The 14,539-nt window shown below is 47.3% G+C and overlaps 1 annotated feature.

Moving 5' to 3' along the window:
• Nucleotides 7,790-8,380: a silencer, noted in NCBI's record as "fragment chr6:36907574-36908164 (GRCh37/hg19 assembly coordinates)". NCBI's record gives its function as "represses an EF-1alpha promoter that drives an FKBP-Casp9 reporter gene in an ReSE screen in HepG2 liver carcinoma cells {active_cell/tissue: HepG2}" and the evidence as "EXISTENCE:reporter gene assay evidence [ECO:0000049][PMID:32094911]".

The following is a 14,539-nucleotide window of genomic DNA, read 5'->3' as shown; positions in this document are numbered from 1 at the left end:
GCTGAGCTGGGTGAACAACAGCAGGAAACCAACCAGCAACCACAGGCAGTGTTGTGGATGAGAGTGTGGGGCTTACCGGCTGGGTGGCCTGGGGCAGGTGATTTCTCTGCTCACTGGCCTGTTTCCACATCTGTACACTGGGGCTTAGAACAGAACCTACCTCCTAGGATGGTTGTGAGCATTAAATGAGTTAGTACATGGGTAGGGCCTGTGATCATCCCTGGAACATAGTAAGTGCTCATTGAGTTAGCCAGTATTCACATACAGCAGGTCCTTGAATAACGTCATTTCATTCCATGTCTTTTTGTCATGACATTGGTAAGAGAAAAATTCGATTCCTGCAGGGGCCACTGTCTGCGTGGTGTTTGCATTCTCCCCACGTCTGCGTGGGTTTTCTCCCATGTCCCAAAGCTGTGCACGCTAGGCTCATTGGTGAGTCTGCATGGTCCCAGCACGAGTGAGTGTGGGTGTGTGAGCACCATGTCCTGTCCAGGGTAGGTTCCCACCTGGCATCCTGAGCTGCCAGGATGGGCTCCAGCCACCCACGACCCTGAACTGGAATAATTGGGTAAATAATTATCTTGTTTTTCTTTCTTTCTTCTTTCTTTCTCTTTCTTTCTTTTTTCTTTCTCTCTCTCTCTCTCTCTCTTTCTTTCTTTCTTTCGAGAGAGTGTCTCGCTCTGTCACCCAGGCTGGAGTGCAGTGGCACAATCTCAGCTCACTGCAACCGCCACCTCCTGGGTTCAAGTGATTCTTGTGCCTCAGCCTCCTGAGTAGCTGGATTACAGGTGCCCACCACCACAGTCAGCTAACTTTTGTATTTTTAGTAGAGATGAGGTTTCACCAAGATGGCCAGGCCGGTCTCGAACTCCTGACCTCAGGTGATCCACCCACCTGGGCCTTGCAAAGTGCTGGGATTACAGGCGTAAGCCAGTGCACCTGGCCTAATTATCTTGTTTTTCTTAATTTTTCTTAAATGTATGTATAGCTTACATTCATTTCAGTGTTTAATATTAGAAGTGTTTTGATCTTTAGAAGTTTGGTGATGTTTTTGTCACCAGAAATATGTCACAGGAATTCTATTCATTTATATCAATTAGCCTATGGTAAAATTGGTTTTGTTTCCCTTAAAGTTGCAGTTTCCAAGAGTCTATCAGCAACTTAAGTGAGAACTTACTGTATTTGTTATTATATATCTTCCACCTGTTATATATAACAGGTGGAAAAGTTTGCATAGCCTGAGGCTATAGCAAAGAAAAAAAATACAGCAACCTGACTTGGCTTTTACCCTGGGGAGGACTGCCTTGGCCTGGGAGAGCTCCTAGGTAGAAAGGGAGGACACACCCCTCTCTGAGGGACAGGGGCACTGGTTGAGTGTTGCCAGGATGTGGGCTGGGGAGGCCTCCTGGGAAGGGCATTTGGTTGGAAGCAGAGACACCTGGCTTGCCTGAGAGGGTTGGGTGAGATGGGAATGAAGACTGGGAGGCTGACCAGAGCCAGCCAGCGCATGTGGGGACCCAGGTGTGCAGACAGAGTCCACTCTGCGTGTGCACACTTATACGTGGTTCACAGAGCTTCTCCCATTTGAGTGACCTCACCCACTCCTCACAGGATAGCTCTCCAAGGTGAGTCTCACTGTCACCCCGCATAAGGAGACTGATGCTCAGAAAGGTAAGTGATTTCCCCAGTATAGGTCGGGGAGGGTCTGGAATAGTGACAAAGTGGTGGGACCAGAGCCAGGGACCTGCCACTAGGAAAAGAGGGCAGTTAAGGCAAGCACATGGAGGAGAGAGAGGAATGGAAGAGGTGAAGTTAGGGGAGGGTGAGAGGGAGAAAGAGAAGGCAGCATCAGAGTAGACGGTGTGTTTTATCCATAAACCCAGACTTGGGGAAAATAGATTTTCTTCTGTATTATTATTTCTGTATATTTTAAATCAAGTTTTATTTTGAACAGCAGTATAACTCCATAACAAAAAAATAAGCCAAAAAGGAAAAAAAAATAATTCCATCTCTGGCATTTGCTTCTCGTCTGAGCAGGTGGTCCACAGCCACTCAAAGTGTGGTCCACGGCCCGGTGCTGGTCTGCCAGAGATTCGCCACTGTTTTTCAGCACAACAGGCCCAGAAAATGAGAGTAAATGTTTAGAAACTCTTACAGCAATTGGACATGGTTGTTTTCTGCCTGTTGAATCTATGATTTAAAAGTTGGGCTTGTATTTCATGTATCTGCTTTTCATTTCATTTTTATTATTTATTTATTTTATTATTTTTTTTTGAGACCAAGTCTCGCTCTGTCACCCAGGCTAGAGTGCAGTGTCACAATCTCTGCTCACTGCAACCTCTGCCTCCCCGGTTCAAGCAATTCTCCTGCCTCAGCCTCCCGAGTAGCTAGGATTACAGGGGTGTAACACCACGCCCAGCTAATTTTTGTATTTTTAGTAGAGACGGGGTTTCACCATGTTGGCTAGTCTGTTCTCGAACTCCTGACCTCAGGTGATCTGCACCTGCACCGTCTTAGCCTCCCAAAGAGCTGGGATTACAGGCATGAGCCACCAAGCCTGGCCTGATAACTTTTTATTTTGAAATAATAATAGACTCACAGGAAATCACGAAAAAAGTACGTAAAATCCCATGAGCTGTTTACCCAGATTCTTCCAATGATGACATCTTATATAACAATAATACAATACCCAAACCAGGAAATGGACATTCATTTTCCTAATAGGTAATGATTTTGAACATCTTTTCCTGTGTTTTCTGCAACCCACATATCCTCTTTGGTGGACTGTCTGTTCGTGTCTTCTAGTTCTATTTGGATTTTTTTTCTGTTGAGTTTTGAGAGTTCTTTATGTATTTTAGATACAAGTCCTTTGATGGATATACATTTAATCATTTATTTTTACGATATTTTACAAAACTTTACATTTGGGATGGATTGGAAATTTTATAAAATCAAACTGGTCAATCACCACTGACAGTTTGAGAAGCAATCTTAGCATCTTCTTGCCTTAATGAAACAACCGCACCTGCACCATATTGAGTCCTGACTTTTTTCCCCAGATAATTTATTATAAATAATTTCTCCAACTTGCTCCATATCTTTATAACCACCACTTACAAGGTTTGCACACCTTCCATAGAGCAGCTGTACTGAGATTTACTCAGCCAATTCCCAAGGTTAGACATGACGTTATCACCCATTTCAGGGTCTTAGAGAAACTCTGAGTCACTCACCTTTGGTCACAAGGCTTTCTCAAACATTTTGGATAGAATGTTCTTAGTTTCCATTCTCACCATTATAGTTCAACTTGCTCTTTCATTAGAATTTAGGCATCAAGGTCAGACCAGATTGCTGGTTGGCCACATTCTGTGTTCTCATGGAAACAAAAGATCAGCGGCACTGAATCCAAACCACCCGAGCAACCCGGCTTTTCCAGTCCCAGATGCTTGATGGCACGGCAACAGTGGAGTCACTAAGAAATTTTACTTTAGTTCTATCACAGCAAACTCCAAACCAGGGGTAGCAGTCATCTGAAAAATGCAGAGACTATTTTAAAGGACAGACAAGTGCCTCAGATAGCATCAGAGAACAATGCCTAAGGTGCATGGATGGAAGCCAGTCTGCACAAAATGCTGAAAATAGGTCGTTCTGAGCAAGGGGGTCATGGAGAAGAAAGTACCAGCCCTCCATTCCTTACGCCCACTAGGCAGGTGCCTCTTCCCCTGCACCCAGGCTGACCCCTCACCTGGAAACTGACCCCTTCTCGGGTTTTCACACCTGTCTTGGACTTCCCCTTCTCCCTCCCTCCTTCCCTTTTTCTTTCTTTATTTTCTTTCTCTTTCTTTCTTTCCTTTTTTTTTTTTTTTTTTTTTTGAGATGGAGTCTCACTCTGTCACCAGGCTGCAGTGCAGTGGTGTGATCTTGGCCCACTGCAACCTCCACCTCCCGGGTTCAAGCGATTCTCCTGCCTCAGCCTCCCGAGTAGCTAGGACTACAGGCGCACATGACCATGTCCAGCTAATTTTTGTATTTTTAGTGACAGACAGGATTTCACCATGTTGGCCAGGATGGCCTCTATCTCTTGACCTCGTGATCCGCACGCCTCGGCCTCCCAAAGTGCTGGGATTACAGGCGTGAGCCACTGCGCCTGGCTCTTCTCTTTCTTTTCTTTTCCTTCCTTCCTTCCTTCCTCTTTTCTTTCTTTCTTTCTTTTTCTTTTTTTTTTTTGAGACAGAGTCTCGCTCTGTCGCCCAGGCCGGAGTGCAGGGGCGCGATCTTGGCTCCTGCAACCTCCACCTCCTGGGTTCACGCCATTCTCCTGCCTCAGCCTCTCCGAGTAGCTGGGACTACAGGCGCCAGCCACCACACCCGGCTAATTTTTTGTATTTTTAGTAGAGACGGGGTTTCACTGTGGTCTCAATCTCCTGACCTTGTGATCTGCCTGCCTCAGCCTCCCAAAGTGCTGGGATTACAGGCGTGAGCCACCGCTCCCGGCCCTTCCTTCCTTCTTTCTCTCTTTCTCTTTCTTCTTTTCCTTCCTTCCTTTCATTCTTTCCTTCTTTTTCTCCTCTTTCTCTCTCTCACTGTTTCCTTCTTTCTGTTTTCTTTTTCTCTCTTTTTTCTTTCTCTCTCTTTCTTTGGTTTGTTCTTTTTTTTTTTTTTTATTCCTGAGATGCATCCAAATTGGTATCTTTATTCTTTTCCCTTGCTATACAGTATTGCATTGTGTGACTATACTACATTCTTTAAAATTTCTTGTTGATTATACCTTTCTTCTTTAGTGCTGAAGCCAGTTCTGAATGATTACACTTTTATAAAAATTCTTGTGCAGCTCTTACTACACAAGGGCAAGAGTCTCTAGGGTATTTATCTAAATGCACAAAAGCAGAATTGTGCGGGGATAAGAGGTTATGGGCACCTTCAACTTACTAGGTGATGCGTGTTTTTCCAAATCGCACCCCTAGCCAGGAGTGTGTGAAGTGAGTTCTCATTGCTCCATATCCTTAGCAACACTTGTTATTGCCATTTTTTCTAACTTCTGATGACCTGGTGGTTACAAAATGATTGAATTGTAAATTTCAGTGATTTGTTTCTAGGCATACCTTTAGTAACTTTAAATATTTTTTTCAAAGTCTTTCTCTCTAGTTTTAAACAGTTCTCTTTATTTTTAAATTGTCCTAGGCTTACTTTTATATTGTTTTTTTAGATTTTGTTTTATCTGAAATTCTTGGTTTTAGCCATCCTATTGTGTCTATTAATTCTCATACTAGAGGATATCCTTTTGTGTTTTATAATTTTTTATTGCCTGCTTATTTCGGTGGTATTGTATCTGATAGAATCCTCTGTAGCCAAAGGTGCTATGTGGTTTGTGTTTCATTTTGTTTTTGAGACGAGATTTCACTCTGTTACCCAGGCTAGAGTACAGGGGTGTGATCATGGCTCACTGCAGCCTTCAACTCCTGGGCTCAGCCTCCCAGTTAGGCAGGATTAGAGACATTCATCATTATGCCCAGCTAATTTTTTAAAAAAAAATTATAGAGATGGGGTTTTGCTATGTTGCCCAGGCTGGTCTTGAACTTCTGGGCTCAAGTTACCCTCCTGCCTCAGCCTCCCAAAGTGTGGGATTACAGGCATGAGTCACCATGCTGGGACTAGTGCTATGTTCTTTCTCTAGGGTGTTTTTTCTTTTTCTTTTTTTTCTTTTTTTAATTGATCATTCTTGGGTGTTTCTCGCAGAGGGGGATTTGGCAGGGTCATAGGACAATAGTGGAGGGAAGGTCAGCAGATAAACAAGTGAACAAAGGTCTCTGGTTTTCCTAGGCAGAGGACCCTGGGGTCTTCCGCAGTGTTTGTGTCCCTGGGTACTTGAGATTAGGGAGTGGTGATGACTCTTAACGAGCATGCTGCCTTCAAGCATCTGTTTAACAAAGCACATCTTGCACCGCCCTTAATCCATTTAACCCTGAGTGGACACAGCACATGTTTCAGAGAGCACCGGGTTGGGGGTAAGGTCATAGATCAACAGCATCCCAAGGCAGAAGAATTTTTCTTAGTACAGAACAAAATGGAGTCTCCCATGTCTACTTCTTTCTACACAGACACAGTAACAACCTGATCTCTCTTTCTTTTCCCCACATTTCCCCCTTTTCTATTCGACAAAACCACCATTGTCATCATGGCCCGTTCTCAATGAGCTGTTGGGTACACCTCCCAGAAGGGGTGGCGGCGGGGCAGAGGGGCTCCTCACTTCCCAGAAGGGGCGGCCGGGCAGAGGCGCCCCCCACCTCCCGGATGGGGCGGCGGCCGGGCGGAGGCGCCCCCCACCTCCCGGACGGGGCGGCTGGCCGGGCGGTGGCTGCCCCCCACCTCCCTCCCGGACGGGGCGGCTGGCCGGGCGGAGACGCTCCTCACTTCCCAGACGGGGCGGCTGCCGGGCGGAGGGGCTCCTCACTTCTCAGACGGGGCGGCTGCCGGGCAGAGACGCTCCTCACCTCCCAGACGGGGTCGTGGCTGGGCAGAGGCGCTCCTCACATCCCAGACTGGGCGGCGGGGCAGAGGCGCTCCCCACATCTCAGACAATGGGCGGCCGGGCAGAGACGCTCCTCACTTCCTAGACGGGATGGCGGCTGGGAAGAGGCGCTCCTCACTTCCCAGACTGGGCAGCCAGGCAGAGGGGCTCCTCACATCCCAGACGATGGGTGGCCAGGCAGAGATGCTCCTCACTTCCCAGACGGGGTGGCAGCCGGGCAGAGGCTGCAATCTCGGCACTTTGGGGGGCCAAGGCAGGCAGCTGGGAAGTGGAGGTTGTAGCGAGCTGAGATCACGCCACTGCACTCCAGCCTGGGCAACATTGAGCACTGAGTGAATGAGACTCCATCTGCAATCCCGGCACCTCGGGAGGCCGAGGCTGGCAGATCACTCGCGGTTAGGAGCTGGAGACTAGCCCGGCCAACACAGTGAAACCCCGTCTCCACCAAAGAAATACTAAAACCAGTCAGGCGTGGCGGCGCGCGCCTGCAATTGCAGGCACTCGGCAGGCTGAGGCAGGAGAATCAGGCAGGGAGGTTGCAGTGAGCAGAGATGGCGGCAGTACAGTCCAGCTTCGGCTCGGCATCAGAGGGAGACCGTGGAAAGAGAGGGAGAGGGAGACCGTGGGGAGAGGGAGAGGCAGAGTGAGAGTGAGAGTGAGAGTGGTTTGTTCTTTCTTTCTTTGCTCTTTTGGCAGGGTTTTGCTCTGTCACCTGGGCTGGAGTGCTTCCGTGCAGTCTCAGCTCACTGCAGCCTTGTCCTCCCCAGCTCAAGCAATTCTCCTGCCTGAGCTTCCCAAATGGCTGGGACTACAGGTGTGTACCACACCCAACTAATTTTTGTATTTTTTGAAGAGATGGGGTTTTGCAGGCTGATCTGGAACTCCTGGGCTCAAGTGATTCTCCTGCCTTGGGCTCCCAAGGGTGCTGGGATTACAGATGTGAGCCACCATGCCCGGCCTCACACCTGTATTTCTGAGACAGCTGCGCCCACCCCGCCTCCTTTTCTTCTCCCTCTCTCCTGAATTGCTTCTGTGGTCTCGACCTGAATTGTGGTATTGCTCCTCCTCTGGTTTCTCTGCTTCTGCTTCTCTGCCCTTCTCCTTAGCCCTCACTTTGTTTGAGGCAAGTCCTAGATGTGAGGTCTGCAGCTTGTCATGGACCAACCACCTGGGCAGGTCTGACCCTTTCCAAGACTCCTTTTGCCCAGCCTTGTTGGGAAGTCATCATGAGGTGGACAATTTGGGAATGGCCCCACCTAAAGGCTAGTCTTTGCTGTCATTACAGGGCTTATGTCTGGGATCCTCACAGAGACTAGAAGTGTCTCCCATCCCCATCGCAGTCCCTGGCACTTCCTGGATTGTCGAGCGGCTCCCTGCCTCTGCCCTTTTGTATTCGGAGCTACAGCCTTGCCTCCCCTGTTCCCACCACCCTGACCACCCCTCAACACCATCCCGCTGTCAGCTCCGCCGCCAACTGAGGCGACACCTGTTCATGGAAACCCTGTGAGCCTCTTCTGTATCCATACACAATAGGTAATGTTGTTTTACGTGTTTCAAAACATCAGTGTTGTCCAACAGAACTCTCTGTGATGCTGGAAATGTTCTCTGTCTGCCGTCCAATACAGCAGCCACAGACGGCACATGGCTTTTGAGCACTTGAAATGCAGCTAGTGTGACTGAAGAATTGCATTTTGAATTTTAGTTGAAGTTTAAATAGCCGTGTGTAGCTAGTGGCTACCACATTGAACAGCGCAGCCTAGACCCTGCTAAACCTTGTTTTTTTCCTTTCTTCGTTTTTGAGATTTGTTGATGTCGAGGCATGCAGATGTACGCCACTCATTCTCCCTGCTGTGTTCCGTCGTATCAATATGCGGCTGCCTGTTTATCCATTTTCCTACTGTTGGACATAGGGGCTCTTCCTTTTCCTTGTTTCTGTTTTTTTGCTGATACAAATGATGCTGCAGCAATCTTTTTGTATATATCTCCACACGCCTCTCCTAATGTCTTCATTTCCCACCATGGTGGACGGTCCCATGACCCCATGCCCAGGTGACTCGGTAGCCTCCTAGGTGCCTACCCAGCCCAAGTTTCTTGTGCCACCACCCCTGACCCCACACCCACTCCTCCCCTGGCACCTGTCAGCCCAGCCAGCTGGGCTGATGACTCTGGAATATCACTTTCATCCTGTGTCTTTCCCACTCAGGAACCCAGCATGGCTCCCATTGCCCGGAGCATCAGAGCTCAGCCCCTTGCTGGGCCTCAGGCCCCCACCATCGGGCCCTACCTTATGACTGCCTGTGTTTCCCAGCATCCTCTCTCAGCCTCCACTGAGCCAACCTCCTTCTGGTCCTCTGCACACATCCCACTCTTCCTACCTCTGTGCCTTCATTTTTGATGGGAAGCCCCCATGCCCTCATTCTGGAATGTTTTTGCTTCCTGACCCTCCTCCACATACTTCAATCCACTCAGATCCTTCCGGGCCCAGTTCAGGCCTGGCCTCCTCTGGGTGGATTTTCATTCTGCAGCATTCATTCAGGAAGCACTCATGAAGAGCCTACCAGGTGCCGGCCCTGGCCTGGGGCTGGGCTTAGAGCCGGGGCAGGATGGCCCGGCATCTGCTCTATGGAGCTCACAGCCCAGCCTAGGCTGGCAACTCCAGTCTGCCCCAGTTTCCAGTTCTGTCCATTCCCCTTGCAGCTCAGCATGGATGAAGCTTTGAAATCCAGAGAGGAAGATCAGGGTTGGGATTATGGCTGGGGTTCAACAGGAGTGGGGGGCTGGGGGTGGCTGGTTCCCAGGAGGCCTGAAAAGGGGGCCTGGAAGTGGGAAGATCAACCCCAGTGCAGGGCCAGCCCTTGCGTCACAGGATCACTGCTGAGAGCCTGGAGGTGAGCGATCCTGTCAGCACCACCATGCAAGAGACTGATGACTCCATCCGCAGGAATGTCGGGGTGCAGATTACACTTCTCTCCCAGAGGCACACTGTGTGGGAAGCCAACTGTTTAGTCTAAATGTTTGCATCCCTCCATAATTCATATGTTGAAACCCCATCTCCAAGGTGATGGTACTAACAGGAGGGGCCCTTGGGAGGTGATTAGGTCATGAGGGCAGAGCCCCCATAGATGGGATTTGTGCCCTTATAAAAGAGACCCCAGAGAGCTGCCACTCCCCTTCTGCAATGTGAGGACACGGTGAGGAGATTGCCATCTATCAACCAGAACGCAGGCCCTCACCAGACATCGCATCTGCTGGTGCCTGGATCTCTGGCCTCCAGAACTGTGAGAAATAAATTTATGTTGTTTATAAGTAATTAGTTTATGGAATTTTGTTATAGCAGCCCAAACAGACAAGATACCAACTTATTAGAAGGTTGCCTGGTGAGCAGGAAGGCAGAGGAAAGTTCTGCTTGCTATAGAATCTGAGGCTTGTTGAATCTGAGGCTTGCTATAGAATCTGAGGCATCGCTGCCTGTGGCACCATCCGTCCAACAAGAGTAGGCCTGGCCAGGGCCAGGACACTGAAGCCAACCACCCCGGGGTACTGTCTCCCAATCAGATGGCCACTGCCAGCCTCTGCCCATGAGGTTTCCCCTTTCTGGGCTTCCATTGGTGGCCACCGTCCCCGTCTTCTGATGGGCACTGTCTTTAACATTCCTCTGTGCTGTAGCTCCATTCTGACCACTGAATCTTGGAATCATTTCTTAAGGTGACTTTCTATATCTCTGTTCGGAATCATTTTGTATCATTTTTTGGTTTAATTCTTAGCATCTTACTTCCCAATATGTAGCTCTTACAATGCACCTTACACTTGCCCCTGTGTCTCAACAAGATTATAAAACCTTAGGGGGCCGGGACCATCTTCCTTTCTGGCCCAAAGTTGGACATCTGGACAAAAGCCCATCACGCACAGCCCTTGATGCTTTGCTCTGCTCTGGACTTGGGATGCCTGGAGACTGGCAGGCACAGAGGGTGTGGGGTGGCTGGGAGCTGAGCAGTATCTTCTGGGCCAGGACAGTTCTCTCCGAGGCCTCCTGAGCATGCAGTTAGGGCTGTACAGCCTCAGTTTTGTCCTCAGCCAAAAAGGGATCTGTGTTAGTGGAAGGAGAATGTGGCTGCCTCCACTCCTGTGAGCTGCCTGAGGGAACCAGATGGCAGGAGGGAAACAGAGCACCTCCAGAGAGCACCTCAGGGCCCAGCCTCTAGAAGGAACTAGGCATGGGTGCAACCAAATGAATGAGCTGTGTCCTCATCCCTCAAACCTAGGCCAAACAGGTGAAGAAAAGCATTGAATGCTGGGAGTTGTCAGCAAAGAGGATAAGGGTTAAGCTTGGGGCTGTGTGGATATCCTCTGGGTGATTTTTACAGAGGGTTCAGGATGGAATGGGGTAAGGAGAGGACTATGAGGGGGTCAGGCAGCAGACGCGGATGGTGTTTCCACACACTGAAGAGAAAACTGGGTGAGTTCTCCTCATTCAGCCACCAGCTATGGGCCTCAGCTTCTTCCCTATTCATAAGGAAGAAGGGGGTGGTCAGAGAATCTTCTGGGTCTAGTCCAGCTCTGCCATTGGTGGCTTGGAGGAGGGCTGTCCACAGAGGAGGGCAGAAGCAAACACTGGGGGATGGAGGCTGATGATAAGAGGGAAAGGGGACAGCAGCCCAGCGTCAAGTATCTGCTCTGTGCTGGGACAGAGCTGGGCACTTCGTCCACACCGTCTCACGTATCTTTACGCTGACCCCTTGAAGATGGCATTTATTTGCTGCATTGATTTAGGGGTGAGGAAACCAAGGAGCAGAGGGATTGGCAGAACCCTCCAAAGTCACTCTCCTGGTATGCCAGAGCTGGGATTTGTAATGAGGCTTCGGGTTCCCAAGTCCCCAGGCCTCCACGTTGGTGGGTGGGCTCCTGAAGAGCAAGTGGCTCTGTGTCTGGGTATGTGCCTGAGTGGCTGAAAAGGAAGGGGTTATCAAGTTGGTTTTTAGATTAGTGCTGTGTTTCTTATATTTGCTAGGTTTTTTTTTTTGTTTTTTTTTGTTTTTTTTTGAGATGGAGTTTCGCTCGTTACCCACGCTGGAGTGCAATGGAGCGATCTCGGCTCTTCACAACCTCCACCTCCCGGGTTCACACAATTCTCCTGCCTCAGCCTCCCGAGTAGCTGGGATTACAGGCATGCTCCACCACACCCGGCTACTTTTGTATTTTTAGTAGAGATGGGGTTTCTCCATGTTAGTCAGGCTGGTCTTGAACTCCCAACCTCAGGTGATCCACCCACCTCAGCCTCCCAAAGTGCTGGGATTACAGGCATGAGCCACCAAGCCCAGCCCATTTGCTAGGTTTTTGCTAACTTGGTTCTCAGTAATTTTCCTTAGTGGGGGTGAAAAATAAGGATTAAAAAAAAAAAAGTGAAGATAGAAAATGGTAGGTGGTTAAGAAAATCTTAGCTCCTGATTAGCACAGAGTGAAGAAAGGGAAAGTCAACTGGAGGTCAGGAAGGGAAGTACAGTTTCAGTTGTTTACCTGTTGAGGAGATACCTCAGTTACAACAGAGTAAAGATGGGGGCGTTTCATGGCAAGTACTAAATGGGTTGCATGAAGCAATGCTTTTAAAATACAGTAAAATGTTAACATTTGTTAAATCTAAGTAGTGGCTACAGATACTTTTGGAATTAATAATGTACTCATATTTTACAGAAGCAAACAAAACGTCTGGCCAGAGGCAGAAGTACAAAACATATAAAAGAAATGACATGGCAGATACACAAACATATGAAAGGAAAACAGTGAAAGGAAGGAACATGCATGTGATTGATGAGAGCCAAGTCCAGAAGAAAATGTAATCCAAGGAACAGGAAAAAAAATTCCCAGTAGTAGTCTCAGCTATAGAAAAATGTAAAAAAAACATGAATTCAAGAAAGTAGGCACTCAAAGCTGAAACAGATGAAATAACAAGGAAAGAAACTGACGGCACTTCTTCAAAACTCATACATGAGAAATAGCAAGAAAATGAACAGATATGGCTAAAAATCAATCTGATATCAAGGAAAGGCCTGAGATAATCATGGTGAATGAAGAGAAAAGAGACATGCATTAAAAAGAGAGATAGCTATGAAAGGTATAAAAAATATCAAGACAATGAAAAAAAGAATAAAAATAGAATTTAAAACAGAAAACCTAACACATGAAAAAGAAAAAGTATTCATCAAGAAAATACAAGACATCTTCCCTAGAATGAAGAATAGAATTGCACCTCTAAAAAGCACACTTTGTTCCAGGAAAAACTGATAAAGAACAAGAAAGAACTATTCAGACATATAGATTTAAAAAGAGAAAGAGAAAGGAAGAAAAGAAAGAAAAAAAAGAAAGAAAAAGCCAAGGGAATATCTCGTTAGAGGGTATCCTCTTAGATGGGACTCTTCGGCTGGCCTCAGTGTTGTCCCTACCAACAGTCAACACCAGATGACAATGGAGAAATATATCCAAATTCTGAGCAAAAGAAGGTGTGATGCAAGAATATTTTATTCAGCCAAGGTGTGCACAACTATAAAGACCACAGAAACATTCCCTAACGCAGAAAATACAGAACTCATGAGCCATTCCTGAGTCATTCCTAACGGTGCAATTCAGCCAATCAAGAGTTTGTTTGTTTGTTTGTTTGTTTATTGAGACGGAATCTCGCTCTGTTGCCCAGGCTGGAGTGCAGTGGTGTGATCTCTGCTCTTTGCAACCTCCGCCTCCTGGGTTCAAGCTATTCTCCTGCCTCAGTCTCCCAAATAGCTGGGATTACAGGCGCCTGCCTCCACGCCCAGCTAATTTTTGTATTTTTTATAGAGATGGGGTTTTGCCATGTTGGCCAGGTTGGTCTCGAACTCCTGAACTTAAATGATCTGCCCGCCCAGACCTCCCAAAGTGCTGGGATTACAGGCATGAGCCACTGTGGCTGGACTTCAATCAAGAGTTTAAAAATAACAACTCAGAAATGAAGAAGCAATGGCAAAAATACTGGTGGTGAGCCACAAAATCAGTTTAAATATAAAATGAAGGCCGGGCGGGGTGGCTCACATCTGTAATCCCAGCACTTTGGGAGGCTGAGGTGGGCAGATCACCTGAGCTCAGGAGTTCAAGACCAGCCTGGCCAACAGGGTGAAACCCCGTCTCTACTAAAAATACAAAAATTAGCCAGGTGCGATGGTGTTTGCCTGTAATCCCAGCTACTCAGGAGACTGAGGCAGGAGAATCGCTCAAACCCGGGAGGCAGAGCTGCAGTGAGCTGAGATTGTGCCATTGCACTCCAGCCTAGGTGACAAAGTGAGATTCTACCTCAAAAAAATAAATAAAAATAAAATAAAATGAAGTCCCAGCTACTTGAGAAACTAAGGCTGGAGGATTCTTTGAGGCTGGTGAGAACAACATAGTGAGACTTTGTTTCAAAAAGAAAGAAAAAAAGACTGTGGTGAGAATTAAGGTTTCAGAGCAGAAGGAAATGCATAGACTTTAAAAACAAAATCAATATAGGAATAAACAAATTGAGGAGAAAGAGCAAGCTATTTCCTTATCTTTAGAGCCTTGGATTATGCCATCTAAAAAGGAAACCTTATTAAGAACAATTCTAGTTTCTTAATGTTTCTCATAATATTAACTTCAGGGAGATCTTTTGGGAACTACTAATTTTTGTGGGGAAGAAACATCTACTTCAGTTTCTTTTTCTCCTGTTAGATTCACATAAAATTAGATTCAGAACTTTTCTTTTTAAAATAGCATTTTAATATAAGCATTTCTATTTAGCATTCTACCTAGAAATACCTTAGACATACCTAGAATGCTGTTCACCTAATGTTAGTAGTTATCTCTGGGTGGTTTTTGGTTTTTTGTTTTTAAGAGACAAGGTCTCGCTCTGTTGCCTGGGCTGGAGTGCAGTGTTGCAATCATGGCTCACTGCAGTCTCAACCTCCTGGGTTCAAGCGATGAGGCTGAGGCTGGGACTACAGGTGTGCGTCACCACACCCAGCTAATTAA

This window comes from Homo sapiens, chromosome 6 (assembly GCF_000001405.40).
Source record: "Homo sapiens chromosome 6, GRCh38.p14 Primary Assembly".
Taxonomy (NCBI): domain Eukaryota; kingdom Metazoa; phylum Chordata; class Mammalia; order Primates; family Hominidae; genus Homo; species Homo sapiens.
This window is presented reverse-complemented; position numbering and strand designations above follow the sequence as displayed.